General features: G+C 37.6%; 1 protein-coding gene across 22 annotated transcripts in view; it reads right to left on the bottom strand.

Moving 5' to 3' along the window:
- The window catches only part of NRG1 (neuregulin 1), a 1,134,802-nt gene that overhangs the window by 144,694 nt on the left and 976,756 nt on the right, over window positions 1-13,352 (bottom strand). For 12 of the 22 annotated variants that reach the window (NM_001159999.3, XM_011544512.3, XM_017013371.3 and 9 more), the window contains exon 5: window positions 12,468-12,518. The exons of the other annotated variants lie outside the window; for them this stretch is intronic. In NM_001159999.3, the coding sequence (NP_001153471.1) occupies window positions 12,468-12,518 (51 nt within the window). The remainder of the gene's footprint in view (window positions 1-12,467; window positions 12,519-13,352) is intronic. 22 annotated transcript variants of the gene reach the window in all.

Genomic DNA, 13,352 nt, shown 5'->3' with positions numbered 1-13,352 from the left:
TCTGGTGTGGGAACTGATGTGCACATCACTATGGATAAGAAGTGGCAAGACTGTGGTTCAAGCAAGAGCTATGGGACCACCTAGAGTGAACTGCTGGGGACTAGAAGATAGTCTAACATCTGAGTATAACTACAAAATAATACAAGGTTTGATTTTACTCCTTGATTGGACAAAGAACATTTTTTATAATTTCAGACCATTATTTTAATAAAATATACCCAGGTCTGCACTTCAAATAAAAAGGAAGGAGAAGAGTTATGTGCACTATTTACCCAAAAGTTCACAGCCAATGTTCTAGAAACCTTAAAAAATAAGCAGGGGCTGGGCGTGGTGGTTCATGCCTGTAATACCAGCCCTTTGGGAGGCCAAGGCGGGTGGATCACTTGAGGTCAGGAGTTTGAGACCAGCCTGGCCAACATGGTGGAACCCTGTGTCTACCAAAAATACAAAATATTAGCCAGGTGTGGTGGTGCACACCTGTAATCCCAGCTGCTCAGGAGACTGAGGCAGGAGAATCGCTTGAACCGGGTAGGCAGAGGTTGCAGTGAGCCGAGATCATGCCACTGCACTCCAGCCTGGGTGACAGAGCGAGACTTCATATCAAAAAAAAAAAAAAAAAGGGCAGAAAGTTTTATTATACTTGTTTCTGTGTGTACACATGTAGTGCATGTTACTTTCCATTTTTCTTCATTTTTTTCACTAAGCTGAATGAGTTTAAATATCAGTCCTCTTTACAGGCACTGTAAAATCATTTTTAAAGGTCTTAATAAACCTCTTAGGTATCTTTGAATCATCTATTTCCCTCCAAACCTTATCTTCGTTTCACATACAGTCTCATTTGCACACACAAGGTAACTCTCCCACCCCCATAATCTATGTATCCTAAAACATACCCAGGGACCCTTTGTATAGTTTATTTTCTCACAGATAACTTGGAGAAACTCTGAACAAAGATGTATTTATGCTGTGGAACATTAGGGAGGTGAAATTAAGAAGCTGGTATGAGAACAACAGAGGAAAAAAATGCATCTGGATCAAATAAGAGAAATGTACAAAATTTCTGAAAAATCTATTATGGCCACTTAAATAATTTTCTCTCAGATATATGTAAGGCTATGCCTCTTCGTATCACATTTCATCATAAAAATATCCTGTTTGACAAGGCAGGTTCCTCCTGGTACATTTCATCAGAGCTGGGGCATATTAGATTTTACAGCTTAAAAAAAATGCAGCAACAGCAACTTCCTTTTCATAGCTTTGTAGACTGAGAATTATTGAAAAAAATCTGTTCTCAAAGCTACATTATTTGTGAAAGAAATGGATTTTTATAGGCTGATTCAATACGTAGATTTCTAGGTTAAAATGTAGGACAATATTTGTGTAGAACATTAAAAACTAACATTTTAAATATTTTGTCATGCAGAATTTTATTTTTTAATATACCTTAATTCCCATTTGTAGTTGAAATCTTTATCAAATGGCACAGAAGCTTCTTGTCAGTTAGTCACTGCTCTTAATACATGAATTTTAAGAAAATTGAGGGAGGAATGATCATACAGGCAAAATTTTTGTTTTATAATTTTAACAGATTAATTTACTTTACTGGATTCCTTGATTATAACTAGGCATCCTTTTTAAAATTTACCACTTCTCTCTTCTTTGGATCAACTCAAGTCTTTAAAAAATAAAAATTAAAAAACAAAACTAGTCTTACTTAATGAATAAAACAAGTTCAGGAAATTGCAAGCTGGGTATGGTGGCTCACGTCTATAATCCCAGCACTTTGGGGCTGAGGTGGGAGCATTACTTGAGCCCAGAAGTTTGAAACCTGTCTGGGCAACATAGTAAGACCTGGTCTCTATTAAAAAAATAAAATTGCAACCTTTTCATATACACACATTTCCAGATGGCCTAAACAAAAGTATCTCCTCGGATATGTAACATAGCCTTTGCAAATCCATCTCTGTATCAAGGATAAGTGTCTGCTCATCAACAATGATTCAACTTACCATACTATAGTCATGTTTTTCTAAAAGTTTCTAGTTATATTTCAGAAAGTTCCCCAAACTATTTTCAAAATGCTATTTAGTGTAAATTAATTTCCAGCACCTTCAATCATCACTAATCTTTTATTCTTGACGGTAAATTATAGAATGTCATCATCTTTTAAAATGAGATAAATTTCAGGATTCTGATTTCTTAGTAAAATGACCTATAAATATGAAGTAGAAACAACAATTTGCTATTTTAGGAGACAGACAACAGTAAAATAATAATAATAAAAATAGTAATAATAATAATATTTTCTTTTCCTTTTTTATTTTTATTTTTTTGAGATAGAGTGTTGCTCTGTCACCCAGGCCAGAGTGCAGTGGTGCGATCTCAGCTCACTGCAACCTCCGCTCCCAGGTTCAAGCAATTCTCCTGCCTCAGCCTCCCAAGTGGCTGGGATTACAGACATGTGCCTCCATGCCTGGCTAATTTTTGTATTTTTAGTAGAGACAGGGTTTCACCATGTCGGCCAGGCTGGTCTCAAATTCCTGACTTCAAGTGATCCGCCCGCCTTGGCCTCCCAAAGTGCTGGAATTACAGGCATGAGCCACCACACCTGGCCAAAATTTTCTTTTAAATTACATAACCACAAATGGCTTCTCTATTTTTTTTTTTCTTTTTTGAGATGAGTCTTGCTCTGTCGCCCAGGCTGGAGGGCAGTGGCGCGATTTTGGCTCACTGCAAACTCCACCTCCCAGGTTCACGCCATTCTCCTGCCTCAGCCTCCCCAGTAGCTGGGACTACAGGCAACCGCCACCATGCCCAGCTAATTTTTTGTATTTTTAGTAGCGATGGGCTTTCACCATGTTAGCCAGGATGGTCTCGATCTCCTGACCTTGTGATCCACCTGCCTCTGCCTCCCAGAGTGCTGGGATTACAGGTGTGAGCCACCGCACCCGGCTGGCTTTTCTATCTTAAGGAATATTACAAAAAAAAAAAAAAACTTAATTTGAAAGTCTTCCTCTTGCCATATTTTACTTCCCATTATGATTACGTGTCATTATGCACAATTAATCACAATTAAACTTTTTACTTTGCTGCGAACTCCTTCAGCCCAAGGACTATTTCCTATTTATCTCCCCCAATCATTACACCTCCCACCTCCCACTTCCCAAGAAATATGCATACACATTTCCTAGCCTCATGCTGAAATATAGTAGGACCTGGTTATTATCTATTCATTTTCATTAAAGAGAGGGAAAGTTTTGGCCAAGCGCAGTGGCTAACACCTGTAATCCCAGCACTTTGGGAGGCCAAGGTGGGCAGATCACTTGAGGTCAGGAGTTCAAGACCAGCCTGGCCAACATGGTGAAACCCCATCTCTACTAATAATACAAAAATTAGCCAGGCGTGGTGGCACGCACCTGTAATCCCAGCTACTTGGGAAGCTGAGGCAAAAGAATCGCTTGAACCCGGGAGGCCGAGGTTGCAGTGAGCCGAGATCACACCACTGCACTCCAGCCTGACGACGGAGCTAGACTCCGTCTCAAGAAAAAAAAAAAAAAGAAAAAAGAAAAAAAAAAAAAGAGAGGGAAAGTTTTCAGTGATCTAAGGATCAAACAGCAAAAACAGGGCCATCCAATTTTAATTCACCTACATTCACCACTCACTTGCTATTTGACCTTAAGTGTCACTTGGCCTATCCCTATCTATATGTTACTTTCCCTACCATTGAAATAATGAGAATAGTCCAAAATTGCTTTAAAAATTTAAAGGAAAGACTGATTAAATTTGTGATAATTACAAATACAAATTTCTGCAACATTTCACAAAGCCAGGCATTCTCTCTCTCGCTCTCTCCTTCTGACATTTCTTAAAAAGCTCTTTAAAGTTTGGTATTCACTCAAGAGGTAGTGCTAGAATACCTCAGCAAAGAACAAACCAAAGAGCCCATCGTTGATGGATAAATTCAACCTAAACACCAAACCTGAAATCAGAGATGGTTATGGACTTGAATAAAGATGAGCATAGCTCTAGGCTATAAGCCACAGTGACCCAATTAATTGGTTTTTGAGAGTTTGCTGACCTTTGGTAGACTAAGAGATAAAATGAAAAGTGGCATTCCAACACTTTTGATGATTAGCTAAACTATGTATACACAGCAAGTTATTAAAGAAATGAATTAAGTATTCACAGCTTGTATGGGAGGTGCATTATAACAGAGTGGGACAGAGAAAAGTGGAAGATGCCCACAGATGAACTACCGGAGTTGTTATTTCGTTTAGGTTTAAATGGTGATGTCTATAAGTCTGATAAAACCTCAATCAGTGTTATCTCACAATTGAACAAGACCTGGTGAGTTTTCTATACAATATTATATGGAATGGGCTAAGCACGCTCTTTTTCTTTCCAAATTGAAAACAAAAAACACCCAAACCCTAATCAACATACAATTACTCTGGTAAAAGAAACTAGGAATTTTTCAAAATCTCCTCAATCATGGATTTTTTTTAAAGGATCCATATCAAGTACTCTGACTTTTGACATCAAAGGTAGAATATTTTACAGATTTCAAAATGCTTCCCATGCATTCTAATTTCAAAACTGTAACTCATTTGTCTACGTTTTTCTACTTTCTTTCAAAATGCAGAATTTCCTGGGTTAAAAAGAGGGCACTGTTAAGAGTAATTATAATGGCTCATAGGTACTAATGAGTCTTTTAAAAAAATGATACTGCAATTATATTCAGTTTTCCAGCTTATTATTTTCTTCAGATTGCTCATCCTGCTTAGTTTTGTCTGCCCAATGAAACACAATTTTCAACAACACCTATTTTTAATTTTCCTTTAAAATTCTGTTACTAATACCTATTTTCTGATTTTTCTAAGGTTGTTTGCTTATCAGTTGTCAATGATTGTGTTGTTGTTTTCCTGTCTAGCTCACTTTTCCCTTCTTTTGCTACAGAACTCTCCTCTCTGTAATGATTCTACACCATGTGGTTCCCATGGGGCTGAGCCCATCTGCCCTCACTAACCCCAACACACACAGCAGTGGATATGTGCCCCAGCCCCCACTCAGCTGGAGGCATTAATCTCCCTGGATGCAGTATTTTAGGGTCAGACATGATGCAATCAGGGCCAATCAGATTCTTCCCTAAAATGTGCTGTTTAGATAAGGAGTAGACTTTCTCTTCTTTTTAGAACTACCTATTTGTTCTTTGACTTGGGACAAGTCACAGATTTCTGAACGTCAAGTCCCTCATCCATGGGATGAAATCTAAGCCACTGAGTTGTATAAATAAATGACTCAAAATAAGAAAATATGCCTTATAAAATGTAAAGTATGATGCAAGTATCAATGATCTATATCTATATCTATATCTATATCTCATACACATACACACACATGCACACACATATTTTATGGTCCAAAAGAATAATTCTGTAAAGCGTTAATTTCAACCAGTACGAAAGGTCAAAGCTTAATCAAAACTTTTTAGATTCTCTCCTCCACTGGTGGAATGCAATGATAGACAGTGAATGACTTTAGAAAGGGCAAAGGCAGAAGTGAAGAAATAAATTATACTCGCAAGCAGTATTGTTTAAAAAAGAAAAAGAAGATATATTCATATACAGAATAAAAGAACTGATTGTGAAGGCAGTAACTTGCTTGCACCTATGAATGGCTATAATATACGAGCCCCAACTCTTGCACCAAGTCACTCTAGTATCCTAAAAATCTGTAAGTAACTCTCCAGCCAACCAAAAAGATGAGGTAATATGAGTAGGGCAATTTTCTTTTTGAATTATTATTTTATTGCTATATGATGCATGATAATTTGTTTGTCATTCTCCACAGTGGGCAGAGCCACCAACCCATGAAAAATGCCATGTTTATAGAAATCTGAAAACACAATTTGCATTCAATTAAAAGTAGCTCTCCAACAGTGGCAGGAGAGGTTCACATGTTATGACCAATAAACATCTGAAATTGAAATGGCATTTTTCCAGCTAAGAATCATTTAGCTAAGCTCCCAGAAGTTTTTTTCTACCATAAAAGCAGGTAAGTCAGTTACAACTGAGGGTAGAATGTAAGAGCCATGGGTCTAAATTCCACCAATGGACCACCCAGATCTGGTCCAATCTAATCAATACATATTAGTGTGCTATTCCCAAGTGAAACCATTCTATCTCATTATGACAGAAATGTCTCTGCAAAGACATTCTTTTCCTTCAGCTAGCTTTTTTAGGTGCCAAATTAAAAACTGAATTGTTCATTTCATTCAGAGATTTCATAGAAGACTTCCTGGATTAGTTCCTGTAAAATGAAGCCTTAGCTGAGAATATATAATATTTTGAAAAGACATAGTGATTTCCTGGCAAAGAACTGTCAGCATCATCACTTAGGCTAAAATCATAAACTCGTTTCCTTCTCCAACAATAAGGGCATTTTCCAACGTTGTTGAAGTAAGATGTAGAGACTCTCTGACTTTTATTCTCTTTTTAGAGCCATGTCACTTTTCCACACACTAGCTCTCTTCCATACATGAAGGGACCATCTTAAAGCAAAGTTGTGCTAAATGATATACATGCATTTTCTCACATTAGACTTCCCAATATATGTTTAAAATAAATAGCATTCTTCAGACCTAGAAACTGAATCTCGGGGCCAGGCATGGTGGCTTATGCCTGCAATTCCAACGCTTTGGTAGGCTGAGATGGGTGAATCACTTGAGCCCAGGAGTTCAATAGCAGTGTGGGGAACATGGCGAAACCCTGTCTCTAAAAAACATTACTCAGGTGTGGTGGCACACGCATGTAGTCCCAGCTACTAGGGAGGCTGAGGAAGGAAGATGGCTTGAGCCCAGGAGGTCAAGGCTGCAGTGAGCCATGAGTGCACTACTGCACTCCAGCCTGGGTGACAGAGAGAAACCCTGTCAAAAGAAGAAAAGAAAAGAACAGAACAGAAAAGAAGAGGAGAGGAGAGGAGAGATGAAACTGAGTCTCAGGGAAGTCACATAATTTGTTTAAAATTATACGGTAATTAGCAGCACCAGAATTTATTTCTTTTATTATTTTTGAGACAGGGTCTCTGTTGCCCAGGCTGGAGTGTAGTAGTGAGATCATGACTTACTGAAACCTCAATCTCCTGGGCTCAAATGATCAATTTGCTCAAGCAATCCTCCCACTATGGCCTCCCAAAGTGCTAGGATTACAAGCATGAGCCACCGCGATTGTCCTCAGCATTAGTATTTAGACTTAAGAGCATGAGTCCACTCAGCATTTGTGCTCTTCCCATTTCATTCACCTGCCATGCTTTGACGTGTAACATGAAGATCACTTGGGTACAACTGGCCCCAGACAAGTCATTTACTTGAATCCACCACATATACTCCCAATAAACTTGGTGCCAAAGGCTACCTTTCAATCCACTCACAGAATCCCATTTCTTTCAATAGTAAGGGCTTTTTCTTTGAGGCAGCAAAACGTTATGTGACATAGCAGTCCACTGCATTATCTGGGGTTAAATGCTGCTGTGTGACTTTGGACAACATGTATCAGTTTCAACGTACAGTGTAATAAGTTTTCATGATAACCATGAGTCATCATCCATGTAAAACATCTAGCACAACACCTGGCACACAGTAAGCCTTCAATAAATGCTTGCTGTTATTCATATTTGAAACAGATATTACCACTTCAACTGTTTTCCCGGGATTTATCTTGATTTTCTTTCCTATTACTATTTGTTAGATTTTCCGTTTTGTTTTCCTCATTTATGTATTAAATTGGAATGGATGGTGCTTAATTCAGCAAAGTGGTTGGTATAACAATTTTTTATGGTATTCAACAGAATTGTCTGCAAAATGGGGCTACCAGCAGCTGGCATCTCCAGAAGAAGTCATTAAGGCTTGTTCCAAACAATCACTTTACTTCTGCTGATTCTATAAAAGGAGCAGCAAGATAGTCCTATTGACTGTTTTGTAAGGTTCAAGTTCTTCTCCTAAAACTTGTCACTTACATGTAATAGAAAACTCATTTAGGCAATTATTTATAAGTTTTTAGTCACAGATGCCTCATTTACAAAAAACAAAAGAAAATAAAGAAAATTATAATTTTGATCTTTATTAGATTAGTATAAAGAACTTAAAAATATAATTAACAACTCTAAACTAGTGAATGAACAATGGAAGTTTCCAATTTCCAAAAATTGAGTAGTAAAAATTGTCTTACAAAGGGAAGGACTAAGAACTTTGATATTTCACTAATATTTACAAGTGGTAGGAAAAATAAACAGAAAGGGGGCAAAACCGATAATGTGTTTGTAAATGAAAAAATCCCTTAAAAACCTCCAGTCAAGAATGATTTCTTTATTGTTACAGTGACCTATAAAATATATTTCTGATTACTATTTAAAAACATGAGAAAAATGCTTATAATATATTAAGTAGGTAGAAGGGTAGGTGAGTGACTTCTATTTTCTTCTTTTTGTTTTTTTCTTTTTCTTTCTTTCTTTTTTTGTTTGTTTTTATTTTAAGAGAGACAAGTTCTCGCTCTGTTGCCCAGGCTGGAGTGCAGTGGTTCAACCATAACTTAGGACAGCCTCAAACTCCCGGGCTCAGGTGATCCTCCCACCTCAGCCTCCCAAGTAGCTGAGACTTCAGGGCTGCCACCAAGCCTGGCTAATTTCTTTATTTTTTTATAGAGATGAGGTCTCAATGTGTTGCCCAGACTAGTCTCGAACTCCTGGTGTCAAGCTATCCTCCCTCTTTGGCCTCTCAAAGTGCTAGGATTACAGGCATGAGCCACCATGCCTGCTCTTTTTTTTTTTTTTTTTTTCTTCTAATCCAACATGAGTTAAAGAGGAAAAAAGGGAACTTTGGGGGCTGTGAAGTCAGATCCATCTCCTCTGCCTATATCTGTTTGCTCTGAAAGCCTCCCCTGTCTTACACTGACCCCCAAATCGCAGAGAACTGTTTAATACATAAAATGTTTGCTGAATCCATACTACTTCAGAGAGGCTTTTCAACATTTACTTTAGAAAACACCAATGTCATTAGTTCAAAGAATGTAGCCGGTACAGGCACAATCACATTAGAAAAGCAGAGTTCGCTTTTCAAATACAGGGATTTACTAGCATCTCCTTGCTGGCTAAAATAAAGTGAAAAGAAATCTATTCTTTGAAGCTGATTATTTTTGACCAGGCAAACTTTTCTGAGGCCTTTGACTTTTTTATATATTTGGCATTTTTGAGTTTGGCTTATTGTTATTGCTGACTCTTCAAGGTTCACCTTCAGCCTTTACTAAATGGAGATATTTGTACCTCACAGTCGTTCCCTGCAATGCAAGTCCTGCGTGTGGCTGCCTTGAAATGGACTGTGTGCTTCATGCTATTTTCATTATTGTAACTAAGACTGGACCTGGTTCCTGCCACGACTGGTTTATATTTTCAAACTGAAGAGCATATTTTCATGAGATTAAAAAATGTAATAAACCTGCCAATGTACCCGCTGAATCTAAAATTTTAAAAAACACACTAGGATTAGTAAAACATGCATATTGTAATTATAAAAAAACAAGTAAAACAATAGTTAATATGAAGAAGTATAATGAAAAAGCCAAAGAAGAAAATCAAATGGAACACCAAAAGTTAAAAACCAAAAACAAAAGCAGCCTTGGTTTTACCTATGGCTTTTCTCTTTCTCTAACACCTCACAATGAATTGGTTAGGGAATCTTGCTGGCTTGACTTTCAAACTATTACAGACTGACTTTTTTGCCACCTCTACTGCTACCAGCCTGGGCCAGGCCACTATGCTCTCAGCAAAAGCCACCTAACTGGGATCCTGGATTCTACCCTTCCTCCCAGTGAGCCATTCTTCACACAGGAGCCAGAGTGATTCCATTAAATACCAATGTCCTGACAATGGCCTACAAGGCACTACATGCTCAGACCCCAGGGTCTGTGGCCCTCATCTTCTATATTTCATCCCTTTGTTCCTTCTACTCCAACCCCACAGGGCTCCTTATGGTCCCCTACACGGCACATGAGCCATGCTTTTGTCTAAGGGCCTTTGTACAGCCTGTTCTTTGCCTAAATACAGTTTCCCCAGATGTTTTTTTGTTTGTTTGTTTGATTGTTTTTCTTGAAACAGAGTCTCCCTCTGTCACCCAGGCTGGAGTGCAGTGGCACAATCACAGCTCACTGCAGCCTCAACCTCCTGAGTTCAAGTGATCCTCCCACCTCAGCCTCCCAAGAAGGTGGGACTACAAGTGCATGCCACCAAGTCCAGCTAAGTTTTCAATTTTCTGTAGAGCTGAGGTCTGACTAATGTTACCCAGACTGGCCTCAAACTCTTGGGCTCAAGCAATCTTCCCGCCTTGGCCTCCCAAAATGCTAGGATTATAGGCATGAGCGACCATGCCCAGCCAGTTTCCCTAGATGTTTGCAAAGTTAACCCTTCACTTCTTTCCACTTTTTGTCCAAATATCAACAATTTAATGAGACTTACCTTGATCAACCTAATAAAAATCACAAGTTTCAACTCTCCTTATCCCCTCCCCTCCTCTACTGTTTCTCATTTTTGGACTACGTAGCACCTTCTAATATATCGTGTTACTAGTTTATTATATTCATTGTTTATATTCTCCTAATAAAATTAAGTTCCACAAAAAAATGTGTTCATGAATCAATTCAACCATATTTACTGAGAACTTACCATGACCCCGGGTGACTGATGTGTGAAAATGGCACATTGAAATATTTTAATATCATGGTACACAAAGCTTCCTTTCTTAGTTTTAAACCATTGCCAAATATCAAAAACTAATTCTACTGAGAATTAGGGAATGGAGTCAGATTTCATAATTATTTCTCTCTCAGTGATAATGCAATGAATAGAAACATAAACTGAGAGATTTATTTCAGTTCCCCAAAGCTTGGGAAAACCAAAAGTATTTTTTTACATTCTCAAACTGCTCAGATATGCTTAAGGATAGTATCTATGGTCCCATTGATGATAGCATGAAGGGTTCCAATTACAAGAGTTTCAATAACTTTATTCAATGAATCACACAGGAGAGAAATTATTTCCAGACAAAATGCCAAAAAAGAAAAACCTAGTATTTGCTTCTGCAGAATAAACACTTAAAAAAAAAAAGCTCAATGTGATTCCTGGATGCTAGCTACATAAAATCCATATAATTATACTAATCTTTTTATAAGTAGAATTAAAAAACAAATAGCACAAATTCCCCGGCAGAAATTATCATTTTGGAGGATATGATGAGAGCCCTTGGAACACATAGGAAACTAATTTGGCCCTTTCTAGCATTTCATTTCCTGTTTGATCTCACCAGGCTATTGCCATCAATCCAGTTAAATGACGCTTTATGTAGTTAAAATATAGCCAAAACACCATACTTCACACAATAAAAGATAATTTTATACCATATAGTTACAGTTCTAGTATCACCAACCTGGAGGGAAAGGCTGTAACATCAAACAGGATTTATTTAAACAGATTGACAAAACAACTTAAATTGCCAAAAGGACAGACTTTCTTTTCATGAGTTTTCCTACCCTGCTGATAGCAAAAGGAAATTGTTCCTTCAACACACTCCCCAGATCGAAATAGAATAACTAGGAACATCTATTTATTGAAGAGCTTATCAAATTGAGAAATGCTTTAAATAAGGAGCTAACATAAGGAAGAGAAAGACTGTAGTTATAAGTTTAATTTTCAAGGTTTGATAAACTCCCCTGTTGAGTATCAAAATTTAATACGATGATATTCTCAATTTATAAGTATCAAAAACTCTTTATACTAGTCCTTGCTAATATTTTAAGTTCCCCCGACATAGCACAAAACCCCAATCAATCTAACAGTTATAGAAGTCCACAAGCACAAAGCCCATTTCACATTAAATAGACGAAAACTAATCTGAGATCTTGCCTAGGGGCTTGCTTTCAAACATTTTCATAATCAGTTACTTGCTATCAAATTTGAATTAAGGGCATCTATATATAGTTTTCTTACTCCATCACAGCTAACTTTATATGAGAATGAAGAAGTTTTGGAACGGAAGCTCCAAACAGCTGGGTATCATGCCTCAGGCAGTTGCTGAAGGCATCCAGAGAAGCTGAAAAGACACACAATGTGCTCTACTGCTTGCCAGGAATTAGGCCTCAGAACTTGTGCAATTATTTTTCAATATTCAAAGCCACCAGATTACCCTAAAACTGATACATTTGTGGTGTATTTTAATATTCTTATGTATATTGGGAGGACAGGATGTCTAGTTGTCCTTAAGCATATTAGGAGGCCATTTCTACTCCAAACAGCAAATACCACCTATTGCCAAACTCAATACTCTGACCCTTAATAGGGGCAGAAGATAGACGTGAACATGACCTTCCAAAGCAGATAGTGCCTTGGGTTAAAAACCAGTGAATAGAATATTTAAGTATACTTACATGAAGAAGTATTTGCTCCTTCTGTGGATACTGATATTCTAATGGGAGACTCTATAAAACATAAAAGTGGAATGAGGCTTTATTGAGTCATGCTGCTTGGACTCATAAATTAGAAATTTGCCAGGCTTGGGTATCGCCTAGTAAAAGAGTAGTAGAACACCGTGCAACAGAGAAGCTGAAGCATTTATAAGTCAGAATGCAATACTCAAAGACCACAAAGGAATATTACCATAGTCTAGACCCAAAGACTTTTAAAAGGGATGAAAATGGAGTCAATCCATCTGTAAGAATATCCCACACACCAAGCATTATCTGAACTTCCAAGAGAGACTACTCTGAGGAGATACACACCACAGGTGAGAAAGAAAATTCCTTCTTTCAGATGTGGTCTTGATTTTGAGAAAACATGAAACCAAAGAGAATAGCCCCTGGATTCCAAGAGAGTGAAAGCCAATTTTCATGCATGCCAAATAAATAAACAAACAAGATTGAGAGTATTTCCAGGCAACTTGGATCTGCATAAACATCCGGACCAGAAAGTGCTGAAAAGTCCATGCAAAGTCTGCTAGAGCAATAGAATAATTACATTAGGATCAAACAAACCATGCTAATTAAATAAATCATACAATAGTTGGGGATATCTAGTAGCAAGATTTTCTCAGGTAGCAAAGATAAAAGAAGAAAAAACAGTCATTAAGTACAGAGAGAATGAAAAATATGACTCATGCCGAAAAAAGCATGGAACGGATGGGTTTTCATTAGTAAGAAATAAAGAAGTCTTAGTATCAAAGAAGGATTGAAAGTCAACAGCCAGAAAGTTATCAAGATTCAAGTCACATATTAAGAAATAATAGTTATAGTCAATTTCCCAAGATAAGTTCCATA

Source organism: Homo sapiens, chromosome 8, assembly GCF_000001405.40.
Source record: "Homo sapiens chromosome 8, GRCh38.p14 Primary Assembly".
Lineage (NCBI taxonomy): Eukaryota > Metazoa > Chordata > Mammalia > Primates > Hominidae > Homo > Homo sapiens.
Note: the sequence above shows the minus strand (reverse complement) of the source record. Positions and strands in the feature narration are given on the sequence as shown.